At 48.6% G+C, this 20,447-nt stretch overlaps 1 protein-coding gene across 4 annotated transcripts in view, besides 4 other annotated features; it reads left to right on the plus strand.

The window, feature by feature from the left end:
* Positions 1-20,447, plus strand: part of PLEKHM2 (pleckstrin homology and RUN domain containing M2) — a 53,264-nt gene that overhangs the window by 12,067 nt on the left and 20,750 nt on the right. The window lies entirely within an intron of this gene.
* Positions 3,424-3,473: an enhancer, noted in NCBI's record as "active region_241". NCBI's record gives its function as "activates an Ori minimal core promoter by ATAC-STARR-seq in GM12878 lymphoblastoid cells {active_cell/tissue: GM12878}" and the evidence as "EXISTENCE:reporter gene assay evidence [ECO:0000049][PMID:35858748]".
* Positions 3,484-3,533: an enhancer, noted in NCBI's record as "active region_242". NCBI's record gives its function as "activates an Ori minimal core promoter by ATAC-STARR-seq in GM12878 lymphoblastoid cells {active_cell/tissue: GM12878}" and the evidence as "EXISTENCE:reporter gene assay evidence [ECO:0000049][PMID:35858748]".
* Positions 3,544-3,603: an enhancer, noted in NCBI's record as "active region_243". NCBI's record gives its function as "activates an Ori minimal core promoter by ATAC-STARR-seq in GM12878 lymphoblastoid cells {active_cell/tissue: GM12878}" and the evidence as "EXISTENCE:reporter gene assay evidence [ECO:0000049][PMID:35858748]".
* Positions 3,674-3,743: an enhancer, noted in NCBI's record as "active region_244". NCBI's record gives its function as "activates an Ori minimal core promoter by ATAC-STARR-seq in GM12878 lymphoblastoid cells {active_cell/tissue: GM12878}" and the evidence as "EXISTENCE:reporter gene assay evidence [ECO:0000049][PMID:35858748]".

Here is a 20,447-nt window from a genome sequence, read left to right on the forward strand (position 1 = left end):
ACCATCTGGCAGCAACAGGCTGTTCAGACGGGGCTGACTGTCTGTGGTCATTCTGCCATTATGGCTAACACTCCGGAGCTTCAGATGGAGCAGTGGTCTCCCTCAGAACTCATCCAGCTGGAGCCCAGTGTGAAAAGAAATTCCCAGCAAAACTAAAATTCTGCTGCCAGCTGACACAAATGTTAGGTCTGGAAACATTGAGTAAGAGGCAGAGTGGTCCACACAAGCCTTAATGTGGAAAGGCAAGAGCTGGTGTTCAGTTCGTGACAGTTGTGGGGAGAAGAAGGTTGGCATTTGCAGGGATTGTGGGGCTCCTGGCTGGGTCATTCCTACCTCAGGAGTCTCCAGTGCCCATCTCAGGCATCAGGATTCACCACCACGGCAGGAGTGTGTTGCTGCTGGAGCTGGCAGTGCCCTTCTGTCCAACGGAAGCAGTAGAGCTTTTCTCATGACAGAAAGCTCTCTGGGTTGCCACCTCTGCTGATAAAACAGGTTTCTTGGCCAGGTGTGGTGGCTCATGTCTGTAATCCCAGCACTTTGGGAGACCCAGGCGGGCAGATCACGAGATCAGGAGTTCGAGACCAGCTTGACCAACATGGTGAAACCCCGTCTCTACTAAAAATACAAAAATTAACTGGGCATGGTGGCACATGCATGTAATCCCATCTCAGGAGGCTGAGGCAGGAGAATCGCTTGAACCCAGGAGGTGGAGGTCGCAGTGAGCCAAGATCGCGCCACTGTACTCTAGCCTGAGCGACAGAGCGAGACTCCATCTCAAAAAAAAAACACAAAAAACAAACAAACAAACAAAAAAACAGGTTTCTAAGCCTGGGATCTGGGAACTGCCATGCAATAGAGAATGAGCAACTCTGGGCCCCGAGCTCTCCTCCTTGAGGGTCTAAACCAGGCAGCAGGGCCGGTTGGTTTGGGTGAAGTCTCCTTTCCAGCCCTATCCTCCTTGGTGTTGCTCATTCCAGGTGCAAACATCCTAGAACTTCCATTTGAGGCAGGTGAATAAGGATGATTTCTGGGAGAGTCCTTTCCGCGGGAGATTAAAGTTTAGGCCATTGATCTATCCGTTATTGAAACCATCCAGGGTCCTGAGAGCTTCTCCTAACCTCTTGCCAGTGAAGCAGGTGGCCCTCTACACAGATATTCTCCTCCATGCTGTGTATTTTGTTTTGTTTTTTTTTTTTGTTTTTTGAGACAGAGTCTCACTCTGTTGCCCAGGCTGGAGGGCAGTGGTGTGATTTCTGCTCACTGCAACCTTCACCTCCTGGGTTCAAGTGATTCTCCTGCCTCAGCCTCCCAAGTAGCTGGGATTACAGGCAGGCACCACCATGTTGGGCTAGTTTTTGTATTTTTAGTAGAGACGGGGTTTCATCATATTGGCCAGGCTGGTCTTGAACTTCTGACATCAAGTGATCCACCTGCCTTGGCCTCCCAAAGTCCTGGGCTTATAGGCATGAGCCACCGCACCTGGCCTCATGCTGTGTACTTGTAATTTATCTTTTCCTCCTTTGCCATAAGTGTCTACAAACATTGCACAAATACATAAGGAAGAAGGTATTAGTTTCTTATAATTCCCTTCCTCCCCAGATAACTGTATTTAACAGTTGGAACTAACAGATTCTGAGAAACCCAATATTATGCGAGTACAAGGAAGGAACTGATGCGTGCTTGAAATACACAAAAATCTCCAAACTTAATTTTTGAGGGTAATCAACCTTCATTGTTCACACTTTTGCTCCAAGTTGTTTTTGGTGTTCACAGACTGCTGAGGCATGAGAGTCCTGAACATGTTGAGAGGAAGGGGAGTAATAAAACCACATGAATCCTTAACATTTAGTTTATTCGGCACCTGTTACATGCCAGGCCCTACAGTTGGCATGTTTACATGTGTTTCCTGGGTCAGTGGCCCATGATGTCGGGGCACTTTGGGTTTTTTGGGGTTTTTTTGGACAGAGTTTCGCTCTTTCACCAGGCTGGAGGACAGTGGCGCCATCTTAGCTCAGTGCAACCTCTGCCTCCCAGGTTCAAATGATTCTCCTGCCTCAGCCTCCCAAGTAGCTGGGATTACAGATGCCCATCACCACGCCTGGCTAATTTTTGTATTTTTAGTAGTGATGGGGTTTCACCATGTTGGCCAGGCTGGTCTCCAACTCAGGTGATCTGCCCGCCTCAGCCTCCCAAAGTGCTGGGATTACAGGTGTGAGTCACCGCACCTGGCCTTGGGGTTTGTTTTTTGAGACAGGGTCTTGCTCTGTCACCCAGGGTGGAGTGCAGTGGTGTGATCTCAGCTCACTGCAGCCTCGACCTCCCAGGATCAAGTAATCCTCCTACCTCAGCCCTCCTGAATAGCTGGTACTACAGGTGTGCACCACCACGTCCAACTAATTTTTTCTATATTTTTTTTTTTTTTTGTAGAGATGGAGTTTTGCCATGTCGCCTAGGCTGCTCTGAAACTTCTGGGCTCAAGCCATTCTCCACCTTGGCTTCCCAAAGTGCTGGGATTACAGGCATGAGCCACCACACCCACCCGATGCCTGTTTAACACATGAGGGAATGGAGTTTAGAGAAGTAAACTGCCAGAGGTTATTAAGCTCACAAGGAGCAGGGCTGGGATTCAAACCATTTTCTGGCTCTTGCTCTTTCCCATTTCTCTGACCCTTTTCCTTCTCCATGGTGTTGGTCTTGAAGTAACAGATAACACGTCCCCATGGGTCAAGTCTGGGGGCCAGTCCTCCATAAAACCACCTAACAAATATTTGTTTTTATTGTTTTGTTTTGTTTTGAGACGGAGTTTTGCTCTTCTTGCCCAGGCTTGGAATACAGTGGCACAATCTTGGCTCACTGCAACCTCCGTCTCCTGGGTTCAAGCAATTCTCCTGTCTCAGCCTCCCGAGTAGCTGGGATTATAGGCGCCCGCCACCACGCCCGGCTAATTTTTGTATTTTTAGTAGAGACGGGGTTTCATCATATTGGTCAGGCTGGTCTCGAACTCCTGACCTCAGGTGATCCGCCCGCCTCGGCCTCCCAAAGTGTTGGGATTACAGGCATGAGCCACCGCGCCTGGGCACAAATATTTGTTGAGTGAGTATTATGTGCTGAGCACTCTTCTCGTCATAGGAATCAACAGTGAGCAAATCCTACCAAGCTCCTTCCCCCGTGGGGCAGACATTCTGGAAGAGGAGACAGACATCAAACAAATTGCAGTGGGATAGGTGTACACCCCAAGTCCTCCCTAATGTCCTTTACTATCCATTATGGATTTGTAATCCAGGAAGGTCCATCATGCTTTCTAGCCTTGTATTTACGTTTTCAGCCTGTAGAATATCTGACTGTATTGCACGGGCCTTGGAATGGCAGCAAGGGTCCCCCCAGGATCCCCCAGCCTAACATTGTGATTTAGACAGTGACAGAGTGAGCATTTCCCTTGGCCATACTTGGGTTGTCTGGGTGGGGGAGGCACTCATGAGGTGGTGGTGTAGGCACAGGAGAGGAAAAGGGAAGTGAAAGATGAACACGCCAGCTGAAGCTTCTGTGCTTTGAAAGCCTGGTTAAAATGAGGCTTTGAAAAACTCCCTTCTCCTCCGCCAGTGCCACACACAACACTGAGCGTGCAGAGCTCAGAAAACCGAGCTCAGGGTCTCTGCCAGCTCCTGCTTCCGTCCCAGCAGTAGAAGAATGGAGTAGAATCGTGTGCACTCTGTTTTTCAGGCCATTGGCTGGCTTCTAGGTCTCTGGTGTTCGCTGAGGGGCCCCTTGGCAGAACCTCTTAGCAGTTTTCTCCCCACCTTAAGAGGAGTCCTCGGTCCCTCCGTAAGAAGTCAATCCCTGTGCTGAGTTCTCAGCCAGAGTAATCATAGTACCTTGAGGCTTGCACACTCCCCTTCCGGGAAGAGGAAGCATTTAGCTGCTTTTGGAAACCATGTTCTGTCAATTATGCTAGAGATCTGTGCCCAAGTAGGCTAGTCACTTTCAGCTGTCATTTTTCCTACACCACAAAGAAAGCACAGAAAAATGAAATCCACAGAAAAATGAAATGCACAGATAATTCAAGTACCTGCTTTTTTCCAGCTTTCCCCCTGCATGTCTTTCTTTTTCTTGAGACAGGGTCTCACTCTGTCACCCAGACTGGGATGCAGTGGTGCAATCACAGCTACTGCAGCCTCTGCCTACCAAGTAGCTGGGACTACAGGTGTATGCCACCATGCCCAGCTAATTTTTTTTTTTTGTACATTTAGTAGAGACAGGGTCTCGCCATGTTGCCCAGGCTGGTCACCCCCTGCATATCTTTCAATAGAGCTGCCAGTAAAGCAGAGAGTCTACCAACTCTCCAGCAGAAGGACTAATGAGCAGTAATTTCGGAGGTGGGCAAAGAAACCTGTGCAATTAGCTGCTGTATTTAGTGGCAAATGAATGGTTAAGAAGCATTGATTTCACCAAACTTGCTTAAAGATCGATGCAGTCCCATGGTGGATAAACCCTTTATGACAGCTCTACACGTTGGGGGACTTTACCAGACCCAGGTTGCCACCCAGTCTGGGCACACGCCCTTCCTGGCTAGGGGCATTGACTGCCCTTCTAAGACATCGCTGAAGGACAGCATTTTTCTTTTTAATATTATTTTTATTTTTTATTTTTTATTTTTAGAGACAGGGTCTTGCTCTGTCACCCAGGCTGCAGTACACAACCATAACTCCCTGCAACCTCAAGCTCCTGGGCTAAAGCAATCCTCCCGCCTCATCATCCCAAGTAGTTGGGACTATAGGTGTGTGCCACCAGGCCTGGCTAATTTTTTAGTATTTTGTAGGGACAGGGGTCTTGCTATGTTGCCCTGGCTGGTCTTGAACTCCTGGGCTCAAGCGAACTTCCTGCCTTGGGCTCCCAAAATGCTGGGATTATAGGTGTGAGCCACCACTCCCAGCCAACAGCATTTTTGTTTTTCTTTCTTTTTCTTTCTTTCTTTCTTTCTTTTTTTTTTTTTTTTTTGACATAGTCTTGCTCTGATGCCCAGGCTGGAGTGCAATAGTGCAATCTTGGCTCACTGTAACCTCTGCCTCCTGGGTTCAAGTGATTCTCCTGTCTCAGCCTCCCAAGTAGCTGGGATTACAGGTGCGCACCACCACACCTGGCTAATTTTTTGTATATTTAGCAGAGACAGGGTTTCACCATGTTGGCCAGGCTGGTCTTGAACTCCTGACCTCAGGTGATCCACCCACCTCAGCCTCTCAGAGTGCTGGGATTATAGGTGTGAGCCGCTGTGCCTGGCCAACATTTTTCATATAGAGCAACTAGCCTCATTGTTTTTGAATTGCAAGATCTCTGATTGGTTCTTATGCGGGGGTGATTTCTGGGCTTTCTTGCTCTATAATTCACTATAATTTGATTGCCATTGAGAATGAAATATTTTCTAGGCTATGGTGCAGTGGAACCTCAGGTGAAGGATTTTAAAATTAGGGGAGTAGGCTTGACGCAGTGGCTCATGCCTGTAATCCCAGGATTTTAGGAGGCCAAGGCAGGAGGATCACTTGAGCCCAGGAGTTTGAGACCAGCCTGGGCAATATAGTGAGACCCCATCTCTATTATTTTATTATTGTTATTATTATTTTATACTTTAATTTCTAGGGTACATGTGCACAATGTGCAGGTTTGTTACATAGGTGTGCAGGTTTGTTACATAGGTGTACATGTGCCATGTTGGTTTGCTGCACCCATTAACTCGTCATTTACATTAGGTATTTCTCCTAATGCTATGCCTCCCCCTGCCCCCCACCTCACGATGGGCCCCAGTGTGTGATGTTCCCCGCCCCGTGTCCAAGTGTTCTCATTGTTCAGTTCCCACCTATGAAGGAGAACATGCAGTGTTTGGTTTTCTGTCCTTGTGATAGTTTGCTCAGAATGATGGTTTCCAGCTGCATCCATATCCCTGCAAAGGACATGAACTCATCCTTTTTGATGGCTGCATAGTATTCCATGGTGTATATGTGCCACATTTTCTTAATCCAGTCTATCATTGATGGACATTTGGGTTGGTTCCAAGTATTTGCTATTGTGAATAGTGCCACAATAAACATATGTGTGCATGTGTCTTTACCACATCTCTATTATTAAAATAAATAAATAGGAGAGTGGGCCGGGTATGATGATAAGGTGGGAGGATCGCTTGAGCCCAGGAGTTCAAGACTGGCCTGGGCAATATAGTGAGACTCCATCTCTATTATTATATTACATAAATATATTAATCTAGGAGAGTAGGCTGGGCATGGTGGTGTGCGCCTATAGTCCCAGCTACATGGAAGGCTGAGGTGGAAGGATTGCTTGAGCCCAGGAGTTCGAGACTGTAGTGCACTATGATTGTGCCTGTGATGAGCCACTGCACTCCAGCTTGGGCAACATAGTGAGCCCCCATCTCAAAAAAAAAAAACAACAAAAATAAAATTAGCAGTGTACATCGGAAGCATTGCAGTTCCCTGGGGCTGGTGAAGCGGCAGGCACCCAGCAGCTGAAGCCTCTGTTGACATCTCATGTTGTCTAGGAGGGAAGCAACTGGGACATTCCTGATGTGGTCCCCTAAATCCTGCAGAGCCCCATCGCTGAAGCCCTGGGGATAGCCCATGGCCCCTGCTGCTCTGCCCTGCTCAGTTTTTTGTTTTGTTTTGTTTTTTTAATTTTATTTTTAGAGACAGGGTCTCGCTCTGTCACCCAGGCTCGGATGAGCACTTCTGGGGTGGTGGCAGCTGATGTCCTGACTGCTTTATCTCCAGGTGGGATGAAGCAGAAGGAGCTCCAGAAGTAGCTACCCCTGTGTGTGAGCACACCTGGCCAAGACTCTGCAGTACAGTAGTAGGACGCTGGCCAGAGCTAGGGTGTGCAGGAAGTGCCCCTGTCTCCCTGGGCTCCGGTCTCCCTGCCTATAAAATGAGGGTTGTGGCTAAGTGATTATTTTTCTGATTTTCATTACATTCAGTAGTCAGTTTCATTCACTGATAACTTCTCCCTCTCCCTCTCCTTAACTCCAACTCCCTTCACACACCCTTCTGCACAGGGCAGGACATTCTTACTGAATGGGAGGCCCCAGGAAACTCTGCTTCCTAACCAAATGGTTTCTAAGGGCTCTTCTGCTCTTCGATAATGAAATTCCTCAGCCCTGGCCAGCACCCAGCCTTGTCTTAGATCGCAGAGGAGAGTCTCTGCAGAAGTGCTGCTGGCAGTAGTGATTTATTCCTTGGATCACATGAAAATGGGGTGTTATTAGCTGGGCGCGGTGGCTCACGCCTGTAACCCCAGCACTTTGGGAGGCCGAGGCAGGTAGGTCATGAGGTCAGGAGTTCAAGACCATCCTGGCCAAGATGGTGAAAACCTGTCTCTACTAAAAATACAAAACAATTAGCCATGTTGGTGGTGGACGCCTGTAATCCCAGCTACTCAGGAGGCTGAGGCAGGAGAATCGCTCGAACCCAGGAGGCGGAGGTTGCAGTGAGCCGAGATCATGCCATTGCAATCCAGCCTGGGCAACAAGAGTGAAACTCTGTCTCAAAAAAAAAAAAAAAAGGGGGTGGGGGTATGTTATTAGCTGGGTGCGGTGGCTCACTCCTGTAATCCCAGCACTTGGTGAGGCCGAGGTAGGTGGATCACCTGAGGTCAGGAGTTTGAGACCAGCCTGACCAATATGGTGAAACCCCATCTCTACTAAAAATACAAAAAATTAGCTGGGCATGGTGGCAGGTGCCTGTAATCCCAACTACTCGAGAGGCTGAGGCAGGAGAATCGGCTGAACCTGGGAGGCGGAGGTTGCAGTGAGCCAAGATCGTGCCATTGCATTCCAGCCTGGGCAACAAGAGCACAACTCCATCTCAAAAAAAGAAAAAAGAAAAAAAAAAGGTATTATTAGTCTTAGGAAGCTTGGCTAAGACTTAAAATACCCCAGCTGGCCGGGCACGGTGGCTCACGCCTGTAATCCCAGCACTTTGGGAGGCCAAGACAGGTGGATCACGAGGTCAGGAGATCGTGACCATCCTGGCTAACACGGTGAAACCCAGTCTCTACTAAAAATACAAAAAAAATTAGCTGGACGTGGTGGCGGGCGCCTGTAGTCCCAGCTGCTTGGGAGGCTGAGGCAGGAGAATGGTGTGAACCCGGGAGGCGGAGCTTGCAGTGAGCCGAGATTGCGCCACTGCACTCCAGCCTGGGGAACACAGCGAGAATCCCTCTCAAAAAAGAAAAGAAAAAAGACCCCAGCCTGCCTGCCTCACTTGTTTGTTTATTTTCTGCTCCCTGTGTCTTTCTGAGGGGATGGATGTCGAGCACTGGCCCTTCCCTTACATTCACAAGAGGCTGCGCCTGAAGCTGCAGCAAACTGCTGATGCAAGCTCGGGGGGGTAGTCGTTATGGTGGCCTCCCTGAAGGGACATTCAGTAGTTGCAACCACATGGCCCTTCTCCAGCTGTCACTGATACGGACGGGTCGCCCAAAGGTAAATGACAGCAGGTAGCTTGAGCTCCACCTTTCCCCTGGGGATCTGCCTTGTAAGGGAGGAATGTCTGTGAGACCAGAGGGGCAGTTTGCCCAACCAGTGACCATGCTGTGAGTAGAATTCCCAGACGCAAGGTGGGCAGTGGCATGTCACTTTCCATGGGACGCGTCCTCACCCACCTTGTACCTACAGCATCGCCATGTGAGGGGCAGCCTCCAGGACTCAGTGGACCAAGAGGGCCCCTGCAGTGCAGTCTGGCTCGGAGGTTGAGATGAGCTTATTTAGCTGTGGCCATCGTGGATGTAATCCTTAAAGAGGTGATTGGAGGTGAGGTGGGTGGTAATCCACCCATTCTTCAGGTGGGTTTTTTTTTTCTTTTTTTGAGATGTAGCCTTGCTCTGTTGCCCAGACTGGAGTGCAGTGGCACAATCTCAGCTCACTGTAACCTCCGCCTCCCAGGTTCAAGCAATTCTTTTGCCTCAGCCTCCCAAGTAGCTGGGATTACAGGCATGTGCACCACCACGCCCAGCTAATTTTTGTATTTTTAGTAGAGATGGGGTTTCATCATATTGGTTAGGCTGGTCTCGAACTCCTGACCTCAAGTGATCTCTCCACCTTGACCTCCCAAAGTGCTGGGATTACAGGCATAAGCCACCGTGCCCAGCCTTTTTTTTTTTTTTTTTTTTCGAGGCAGGGTCTCACTCTGTTGCCCAGGCTGGAGTACAGAGGTGTGATCATGGCACATTGCAGCCTCCAGCTCCTGGGCTCAAGCAATCCTCCTGCCTTAGCCTTCCGAGTAACTGGGACTATAGGTATGCACCACCACGCCCAGCTAACTTTAAAAAAAAAAAAAGTTGCTAGAAACAGGGTCTTGCTATATTGCCCAGCTGGTCTCAAACTTCTGGCTTCAAGCAATACTCCCGCTGACTCAGCCTCCCAAAGTGCTGGAATTACAGGCGTGAGCCACAGCGCCCAGCCCTCAGGTGGGGTCTATTCTGTTTTTGGATTTCCACCTCCTAGACCTGTCCTGCTGAGGCTCTTCCAAACACTCTTGTGTAAATAACGTTTGGTCTCCATGGAGCCCACAGGGAGGCTGCTGTTACCTGGCGGCCTTCTCCCTGGGCATCACAGGAGAGTCGAACCTGCCAGGCCAGGCCGGGCCGGGCAAGGTTTCTTAGGTATCCTTAGGTCTGTGTCTGCGGTGGCTGAGCAGGGATGGGGCAGGCACAGCGGTGGAGCCCCACAGTGGCCAGGCAGTTAAACAGGCACGCTTACAGCCATCTGTCCAGCCTCTCCTGTTGTTGGAGCAGGCGTTTTTATCCTGCTCTGTAAATAGGGAAGTGTGACCCCTGCTCCCCTAGTATAACTTGCGAGTTGACAGCAGAGTTAGAATCCAGATCGCCCCTCTTTTGGGCTGGGCAGGGTTGCAGCCTCTTTTTGACCTTGTCTGACGAGGGAGAAAGGAAGGACGTCACTTGGAACTGTCTTATGTTCATTTGGCTGTTTATCGTCTTTCACAGCCACCTTTGAGTTAATTATTAGAGACCAATCTGGAAGGATTTCTTCGTATCAACCATAGTACTAGAAATTGTTTTGTGGGTGTATGAAGATCAGAGAGAGACGGGACAGAGAAGGCCGGGCTGTGGCAGCTCAGAGCAGAGAGTGGGACTCACCCTGATTAAAATTCTCTGAGTCAGGCATTTCTTGGCTTGTTGGAGTGTACCACCCACACTTCCCCGAAGCAGTCTTGTGACGCCCAGCCTTCCCAGAGCGCCTGGGAGCCCTGTGCTCCTGGCTTTGGGAGAGTCTGGGATGAGCTGAGCTAGCTTTTCCCGGCCCTGGTGCCTGAGCACAACCGAAAAATCAGCAGCAGGGACAGGAGAGCAGCTGAGCAGGTCTAGAGCGTGGTCTGGGAACATGCCTTTGAGACAGAGGCCTCAGAGTCCGTGGACCTTAGGGAACCACCATGTTTAAAAATTTACCTTAAATCTGAATCTCTCTCTTCATTCTCAGCTGACCTTGCTTACTTTTGAATTTTCTTCTGATGACAACTTTTTCATCCTCCCACCATGGAGCATACTGGCCCACCTGCTTGTGGACTCTCCTTTGTGGCCAGAGGGGTCCCATCCTGTCTTTCCTGGGCAAGGACTTTATTTCTTTACTCTACCCTGTTTTTCCTGCCACTCTTTTGGCAAAACCGGTCAAAGGGATTTTCTGTATTTACTGTCTCTTCCTCCACTCCCTCCGTCCCTCCCTCCCTCCCTTCCTCCCTTCCTTTCTTCCTCTTCCTCTCTGTTCTTCCACTTCCCTCACCCCCTCTTCTGACCCAAAATAGGCAGAATGGCATACCGAAGCCCCATGTTCAGCTCGTATCATCACCGGACAGTCTATACCACCAGCCCTCTATTATTTTGAAACAGATTTCCAGACATCCATAAATATTTCAGTACGTATTGTTAAAAAATGAGGATTCTTTTCTCACATGACCCAATATTACAAAAAATTCACAATAACTTTTCCTCAATATCATCAAATATTTGCTGTTTCAAGTTCCAGCTGCCTCATCACTGTCATGTTTAAATGCCTCATTTGCTGATGCGGGATCCACACAAGCTCCTGCCCTCCGTGATGAGTGCCCATCAGGCTGCTGCCCCCGCCCCTGCGCCCATGTGCTTTCCTCATGGTCCCAGCACCTCCCTTTTAGGCCCCTGCTGCCATGACCCTGGCGACTGACCACACCTGCCCTTGGGAAACTTTCCTCACTGGGCTTCTGGAGCACATACTGCCCACGTTTTCTGCCCACCTCGCTGGCTGTGCCTTCGTGGTCTAAGACAGTGATCCTCAGCCCGGGCCAGGCATCAGGATTACCTGGAGTGTTACAGTGCTGCTTCTTGTGCCCTGACTCCAGAGTTTCTGATGTCATTGGTCTGGAAAGGGGCCCGGGCATTGTTGGGCTGCGTGGGTGAGGACCCCTGGTCTAACGCAGCCCTGGCGGCTCAGTACTCAGACGCTCCTCCTGCTGCACACTCACGGCTTTCAGTGGCTGGCGGCACCCCCCCTGCCCCTGAACCTCAGATCCATTTCCACAGCTGTGTCCTTGATGTCTCCACGTAGATATCTTTTTTTTTTTTTTTTTTTTTTTTTTTGAGATGGGGTCTCACTCTATCACCTAGTTGGAGTGCAGTGGTGCAATCTTGGCTCACTGCAACCTCTACCTCCCAGACTCAAGCGATTCTCCTACTTCAGCCTCCTGAGTAGCTGGGACTACAAGTGTATCGTGCCATCATGTCCGACTAATTTTTTGTATTTTTGCTGAGGTAGGGTTTTGCCATGTTGCCCAGGCTTGTCTCCAACTCCTGAGCTCAGACGATCCACTCACCTCGGCCTCCCAAAGCGCTGGGATTATAGGCGTGAGCCACTGTGCCCGGCCTCCACATAGATGTCGGATAGGTGTTCTGAACTTATGCCAGAGCTGAACTCCACCTGATCCAGAAACGGCTGCCGTCCACCTGCTCAGACCATACCTCAGAACTGTTGCTGGCTCCTCCTTTTCCCTCATGCCCCACATTTAATCCATCGCTAAATCTCTGCGGCTCTGCCTTCAGACCCTGCATCTGACCCCTTCTCCTGTCCTCTACACTGTAGCCAGCTCCCAGCCCCCATTTTCCCATTGTCGGGGCTGCTAGCCTCCTAACCAGCCTCTGCCTCCACCCTGGCCTTTCACAGTCTGTCTACTCACCATACAGAAACTATGGCAAGGCCGGATCTGGTGGCTCACGCCTGTAATCCCAGCACTTTGGGAGGCCGAGGTGGGTGGATTGCTTGACCCAGGAGTTCAAGACCAATCTGGGCAACATGATGAGACCCCATCTCTACAAAACAGAAAAACTAGCCTGCTGTGGTGTCGCACACCTGCAGTCCCAGCTACTCGGGAGGTTGAAGTGGGAGGATCGATTGAGGCAGAGGCTGCAGTGAGCCAAGATCGCGCCATTGCACTCCAGCCTGGGTGACAGAGCAAGACCCTGTCTCAAAAAACAAGCAAGAAGCTATAGCAGCTTTGTAATAGTGACATCGAGTTATGTACTTTCCTGTTCTCACCTGCCAACAGCTTCCCATCAAACTGGTAATGAAACGCAAAGCCCCTCGCACGGCCTGTGTGGCTGTGCATGATCCGGCCCTCAGCTGCCTTCTTGACCTCATCTCATGCTGCTCACCCCTCACTCCCTGAGCTCCAGCCACACCAGGCTCCTCACTGTTGCCCCTGCTGTTCCTCTAACCGGAATACTTTCCCCCCGGATGCCACAATAGCCATTTCCTCAGGGAGATCTTCTTGGCTCCTTATTTGTTTGTTTGTTTTTATTATTATTTTTTGAGTTGGAGTTTTGCTCTTGTTGCCCAGGCTGGAGTGCAGTGGCACGATCTCGGCTCACTGCAACCTCTGCCTCCCAGGTTCAAATGATTCTCCTGCCTCAGCCTCCCGAGTAGCTGGGATTACAGGTGTGCGCCACCATGCCTGGCTAATTTTTTGTATTTTAAATAGAGACGGGGTTTCACCACGTTGGTCAGGCTGGTCTCGAACTCCTAACCTCAGGTGATCCACCTGCCTCAGCCTCCCAAAGTGCTGGCATTACAGGCGTGAGCCACTGTGCCCGGCTTTTGTATTTATTTTTTTCCCTCTGGGGGCTCCGTATTTATAACAGATTTCCACACCCTGCTTCATTTTTTTCATAGCACTTACTACTCCCTGATGCCGTATTATACATTTGCACTAATTTATCTCTGCCACCGTGTCTGATATGTACATAGCAGGTGCTCAGTAACTGTGTGTTGAAATATGTGACCCTTCACGGCTTGAGCCTTCCCTTCTGGCCACTGCTGAACTGAGCTTTGAGCAAGAGGCAGCTCCTCAGCCGAGCCTATCACAAGTGTGCATTCCTTGCCACCTCTGCTGCAGGCTCCAGACCGAGGGCCAGCATGCTTCTTCTGTAAAGAGCCAGGTGCTAAATAGTTCAGGCTGTACAGGCCATGCGGTCTCTGAGACAAACTCCGTCTCAAAAAAAAAAAAGAGTGCTTAAAGTGTAGGCTTTGGGCTGGGCACCATGGCTTATACCTGTAATCCCTAGAATTTGAGAGGCTAAGGCAGGAGGATCACTTGAGCTCAGGAGTTTAAGACCAGCCTAGACAACATAGCAAAACTCCATCTCTACAAAAAAAATACAAAAAAAAAAAAAATTAGCCAGGTGTGGTGGTACATACCTGTAGTCTCAGCTATTTGGGAGGCTGAGCTGGGAGGATCACCTGAGCCCGGTAGGTTGAGGCTGCAGTGAGCATTACTGCACTCTAGCCTGGGCAACAAAGTGAGACCTGTTTCTAAAAACACTGCTCCACTTGCCGTCATAGCACAAAAGCAGCCACAGGTGACACGTGAGCCGATGGGAGTGGCTGTGTTCCAATAAAACTTTACACACAAAACTTGGAGGTGGTCCCCTAGCCACCCTGCCCTAGACTCCCACGAATTCTGAGATTTTCTGCCTTTCCCCAAAATCCACATGAACAGAAAGGAAACACTCAGAACCACTTGGCAGTCTGATCAGCAGAATGAACTTCTTCCCAGAAGTGGGGAAAGCCCCTCCTGGAGCAGCTGCAGCTTTTTTTAAAACTGACAAGACACATCCTCACTCGGGAGATGCCAGTGTGGGGCCAAAGGACAGAGACTGTACCAGCAAGGGCTGTTGGTAGAGAAGCCACCCTGGCTGCTCTCCTTGGTCTGTCTTCCAAGAAGCAGAACTGGAGAAGACTCTGAGCTCATGTCTACCATGGGGTTTTAGTTCTCATAGTTTATATTTTTTTGAGATGGAGTCTCGCTCTTGTCGCCTAGGCTGGAGTGCAGTGACGTGATCTCAGGTCACTGTGACCTCCACCCCCTGGGTTCAAGTGATTCTCCTGCCTCAGCCTCCCGAGTAGCTGAGATTACAGGCACCCACCACTATTCCCAGCTAATTTTTGTATTTTTAGTAGAGATGGGGTTTCACTGTGTTGGCCAGGCTGGTCTTGAACTCCTGACCTCAAGTGATCCACCTGCCTCGGCCTCCCAAAGTGCTGGGATTACCAGCGTGAGCCACTGCACCTGGCCAGTTCTCATGATTTAAAAGAGAGGGAACTGCATTTTTCTTTTTTCTTTTTTTTTATGGAGTCTCGCTCTGTCGCCAGGCTGGAGTGCAGTGGCACGATCTCAGCTCATTGCAACCTCCACCTCCCTGGTTCAAGCAGTTCTTCTGCCTCAGCCTCCCGAGTAGCTGGGGCTACAGGTGCACACCACCACGCCCGGCTAATTTTTGTATTTTTAGTAGAGATGGGGTTTCACCATGTTGGCCAGAATGGTCTCGATCTCTTGACCTTGTGATCCACCTGCCTCGGCCTCCCAAAGTGCTGGGATTACAGGCGTGAGCCACTGTGCCCGGTCCGGAACGGCATTTTTCTTTCTTGGATTCCCCTAAAACGTATTAGGAGGGGATTTAAATAGAGTCTAACTTTACAAAAAAGTTTTTTAAAATAGAGATGGGGTCTTGCTATATTGCCCAGGCTGGTCTCAAACTCCTGGCCTCTAATGATCCTCCTTCACTGGCCTCCCAAAGAGCTGGAATTATACTTGTGAGCCACCATGCCTGGCTAGAGTCTAACATTTTACATACATTATTCGTTCTGGGACCTCCAACCCAGGTTTGATGAAAAGACCTGGGTTTAAAATCTGTCTCTGCCCCTTACTAGCTCTGTGACCTACTTACGGGGCTGCGGTGGTGATTAAATTACGTTTGAAAAGTGTGTCATCGTCATCATAGCTGCTAACATTTGTTAAGTGTTTACGATGTATCATGTACTTGGTAAACATAGTATAAGCATTATGAACCCTCATGGCAACCTATAGGGAGGGTCCTATTACTAAGCCCATTTTACAGACAAGGAAAACGAGTTTCGAGAGGTTAGGTAACTTGCCCAAGGTCACACAGTGAATGAGTAGCAGAGTCAGCATTCAAACCAAGTTGTCCGACTCCAGAATCCACACTCTTAACAGCTCTGCCACCGTCCTGATGCACAGAGTGTGCACTCAATAAATCATGGCCCTAATTGTAGTGGGTATTAGCTCTACCAGCAGGTATTGAGTGCAACCAAAGAGTAATTTGGCATAAAAGATGAGGATTGTGCTTCCAGGCTGGGTTATATTTGTTATACTCACCCCATTAATTCTGTTCTGGGGTCCTCATTTCTTCGATGTTTGCTTTCCTTCCACTCCTGTTCTTTCAGAGCCTTCTGATACTGGAGCGGGAGGGAGGTGGTTACCAGCTGCAGCCTCATTACAGCTAAGAGAGTGCCACTGCTGTTTATTTACCTTTATGTGCTTTGCTACCCAGCTCCCAAAGTCTTTAAATAGCCACATGTGGCTAGTGACTACTGTATTGGACAGCTCAGGTCTAAATAGTCGTTTTATAACCCATTTTGCAGATGAGAAAAAATGAGGGTTAGAGAGTTAAGTAATTTGCCAAAGGTGCCCACCTCTGTAGTCGCAGAGCCACACTTTGGACCCGGGTTTCCTGCCTACGGAGCCTTCTCTCTCCACCACCGTGGCATATACACTCTTTGTACTGTACTTTTTGCAGAAATTGTTTCAAGGCACAGATTGCTTCCTAACTCATAATACCATGTGTAGATATGCAAGCCACCTTGAAATAAATGTGCAGGACATACCTAAAGAAAGCTATAAAAATTACCAAAGGATATAACAGAAGACCTGAATAAATGGGGAAAAGACTCCATGTTCCTGGATAGGAAGACTCAATATTGCAATATTATTTCCTCCTCCAAATGATCTCTGGATTCAGTATAATTCTAGTACAAGCCGGGCGCGGTGGCTCATGCCTGTAATCCTAGCACTTTGGAGGCCGAGATGGGCAGATCACGAGGTCAGGATATCGAGACCATCCTGGCTAACGTGGTGAAACCCCATCTCCACTAAAAAAAATACAAAAAATTAGCTGGGCATGGTGGCGGGCGCCTGTAGTCCCAGCTACTCGGGAGGCTGAGGCAGGAGAATGGCGTAAACCTGGGAGGCGGAGCTTGCAGTGAGCCGAGATCGCGCCACTGCCCTCCAGCCTGGGCGACAGAGCGAGACTCCATCTCCAAAAAAAAAAAAAAAAAATTCTGGTACAAATCCAGAAGAAAATTGTAGTGAAATTTGATTAAAATAATGTACTAGAACAGCCAAAACAGTTTTGTTGTTGTTGTTATTGTTGTTATTTGAAACGGAGTCTCACTCGGCTGCCCAGGTTGGAGTGCAGTGGCATGATCTCGGCTCACTGCAACCTCCAACTCCCGAGTTCAAGCAATTCTCCTGCCTCAGCCTCCCGAGTAGCTGGGATTACAGGCATGGTGGGGCCCGGCTAATTTTTGTATTTTTTTTAGTACAGACAGAGTTTTACCATGTTGGCCAGGCTGGTCTCAAACTCCTGACCTCAGGTGATCCGCCTGCTTTGGCCTCCCAAGGTGCTGGGATTACAGGCGTAAGCCACTGCACCCAGCTACCAAAACAATTTTGAAAAAGAATGTTGAGGGGGCTGGGGTGGACTTGTTCTGCCCATACCAAAATGCTGAATAAAGTGAAAATTTTAAATGGAGGACCAGCACAGGAATATATAATAGGCCAACAAGAAGTAGTTTTAAAAGGGGCATATTACATCACAGATCAGCCAGGCATAGTGGCATGCATTTGTAGTTCCAGCTACCCAGCAGGCTGAGGTGAGAGGATTAGGAAGAGCTGGACCATTAATTAACATTAATAAATACGAGGGCTGGGTGCCGTGGCTCATGCCTGTAATCCCAACACTTTGGGAGGCCAAGGCAAGCAGATCACCTGAGGTCTGGAGTTTGAGACCAGCCTGGCCAACACGGTGAAACTGGATCCTTACCTCATGCCATATATAAAGCTGGATCCTTACCTCATGACATATATAAAGATCTAAACATAAGGGAACCTGGCCGGGCATGACGGCTCACCCCTGTAATCCTAGCATTTTGGGAGGCCAAGGCAGGAGGATCCCTTGAGCCCAGGAGTTCGAGAGCAGCCTGGGCAACATAGGGAGACCCTGTCTCTATCAAAAATAAAAATAAAATAAAATAAATAAAAACATAAGGGGACCAAAAACCAGCAGTGAAAAAACAAAAAAGATCTAAACCTAAAAACCAAAATCAAATTGTCCTAAAACTATAAAAGAAAAAAGGCACTTTTGTGGCCAACCGTGGTGGCTCATGCCTGTAATCCCCACACTTTGGGAGGCTGAGGTGGGCAGATCTCTTGAGCTCAGGAGTTCGAGACCAGCCTGGCCAACATGGCAAAGCCCCATCTCTACTAAAAAATACAAAAATTAGCCAGGTGTGGTCGAAGGTGCCTGTGATCCCAGCTACTTGGGAGGCTGACGCAGGAGAATCACCTGAACCTGGGAGACACAGGCTACAGTGAGCCGAGACTGTGCCAGTGCACTCCAGCCTGGGCAACAGAGCGAGGCTCCATCTCAAAAAAAAAAAAGAAAAAAGAAAAAAGGCACTTCTGTAATCTTACATTGGGAAAAATGGGAAACTATAAAGGAAAAGACTGGTAGATTTGACTGCATCAAAATTAAAAATTTCTCAATAGGGCAAAAAAATGACAAGTGAAGTTTAAAGGTCAATTGATAACGGGGGGGAAAATAATATATAACAACACATTAGGTTAAATCCTTAAAGAGCTGTAACATGGCTGGGCGCGGTGGCTCACGCCTGTAATCCCAGCACTTTGGGAGGCTGAGGCGGGTGGATCATCTGAGGTTGGGAGTTCAAGACCAGCCTGACCAACATGGAGAAACCCCATCTCTACTAAAAGTACAAAATTAGCCGGGCACGGTGGCGCGTGCCTGTAATCCCAGCTACTCAGGAGGCTGAGGCAGGAGAATCGCTTAAACCTGGGAGGCAGAGGTTGCAGTGAGCCGAGATCACGCCACTGCACTCTAGCCTGGGCAACAAGAGCAAGATTCAGTCTCAAAAAAAAAAAAAAAAAAAAAGAGCTGCAACAAATAACAAAAACACAAGCAGCCAGTGGAAGATTGGGCAAAGGCTGTGAATACTTAGTTCCTAGAAGAAGAGAAACACGTGGCTAATATGGATGTTCCACTGCGCTTTTAATCAGAGAAGTACAATTTAAAACAGGTACTATTTTTCACCAAATGGACTGGAAAAAATTAGACTAATTATATGCAGTGTTGGCCAGCATGGTCGGAGTGTAAATCAGTCAGACATTCTAGACGGCCAGGTGGCAGGACCCAGGCAGATTGTGAATGTGTTTGTCTGTTGGCTCAGCAGTTCCCCTTGCAGGCACTCACCATACAGAAGCATCCACACAGGACTGCACAATGGTCACTGCAATATTATGTGCTATGTCCAGGAACTGGATATGATATCCATATTTAACAATGGTTGAAGTATGGTACATCATAATGATATGGAAATATACATGGATATACCTTAAAGGCAAAACAAGTTTCAGAATGAATATAGCATGATCTTATTTTCCTTTTTTTTTTTTTTTTTGAGACAAGTTCTTGCTCCAGGCTGGAGTGCAGTGGTGCCATTACAGCTCACTGCAACCTTGAACTCCTGGGCTCAAGGGATACCTCCCCCTGACCCTGCCTCAGCCTCCCAAGTAGGTGAGACTATAGGTGCATGCCACCATGCCTAGCTAGCTTATTTTTATTTTTATTTTTCGCCCCTGCTGGAGTGCAGTGGTGCAATCTTGGCTCACTGCAACCTCCACCTCCTAGGGTCAAGCGATTCTCCTGCCTCAGCCTCCCAAGTAGCTGGGATTACAGGAATGTGCCACCACACCCAGCTAATTTTTGTATTTTTAGTAGAGACGGGGTTTCACCATGTTAGCCAGGCTGGTCTGAAACTCCTGACCTCAACTGATTTGCCTGCCTTGGCCTCCCAAAGTGCTGGGATTATAGGTGTGAGCCACCACGCCTGGCTAATTTTTAATTTTTTGTTTGTTTGTTTGTTTTTGTAGACACAGCGTTTTGCTATGTGGCTGAGGCTGGTCTCAAACTCCTGGCCTCAAACGATCCTCCTGCCTCGGGCCTCCCAAAGTGTTGAGATTACAGGCATGAGCCACCACTCGTGGCATTCCTTTTTTTCTTATTTCTTTCTTTCTTTTTTTTCTTTTTTTCTTAGGTCTGTGTATACAGGAAAAGAGTTGGGGGGATACGTGCACACCAAGCTGTTGGCAATAGTAAATGGGAGCAAGGGGGCCTTTATTCTTTATACACACCTCTGTGTTGCTTCCATTTTTACAATGAACAAATGTTTTCAGAATAATTTTTCTTTAAAGGTATCTTAGCTGAGAAAAGAGTCTGAGTTCCAGCCCTGGGTCCTGTCACTTAACTAAAAACCATATTGAGGGACTTAACCTCGTCTCTGTAAATACACAAATATACACATTCTTTTCCATGTGGGAATTATAATTCAAGAGAATGAATAATATTCTGTTTTTTGTTTGTTTGTTTGTTTTTTGTTTTTTGTTTTTGAGAAGGAGTCTTGCTCTGTTGCCCAGGCTGGAGTGCAGTGGCGTGATCTCAGCTCACTGCAAGCTCCGCCTCCCGGGTTCCTGCCATTCTCCTGCCTCAGCCTCCCGAATAGCTGGGACTACAGGCGCCTGCCACTACGCCCGGCTAATTTTTTGCATTTTGCTTAGTAGAGACGGGGTTTCACTATGTTAGCCAGGATGGTCTTGATCTCCTGACCTCGTGATCCGCCCACCTCGGCCTCCCAAAGCGGTGGGATTACAGGCGTGAGCCACTGCAGCCCAGCCCTGTTTTTTTTTTTTTTTTTGGAGACAGAGTCTCACTCTGCTGCCCAGGCTGGAGTGCAGTGGCACAATCTCAGCTCACTG

The sequence above is a fragment of the Homo sapiens genome, chromosome 1 (assembly GCF_000001405.40).
Source record: "Homo sapiens chromosome 1, GRCh38.p14 Primary Assembly".
NCBI lineage: Eukaryota > Metazoa > Chordata > Mammalia > Primates > Hominidae > Homo > Homo sapiens.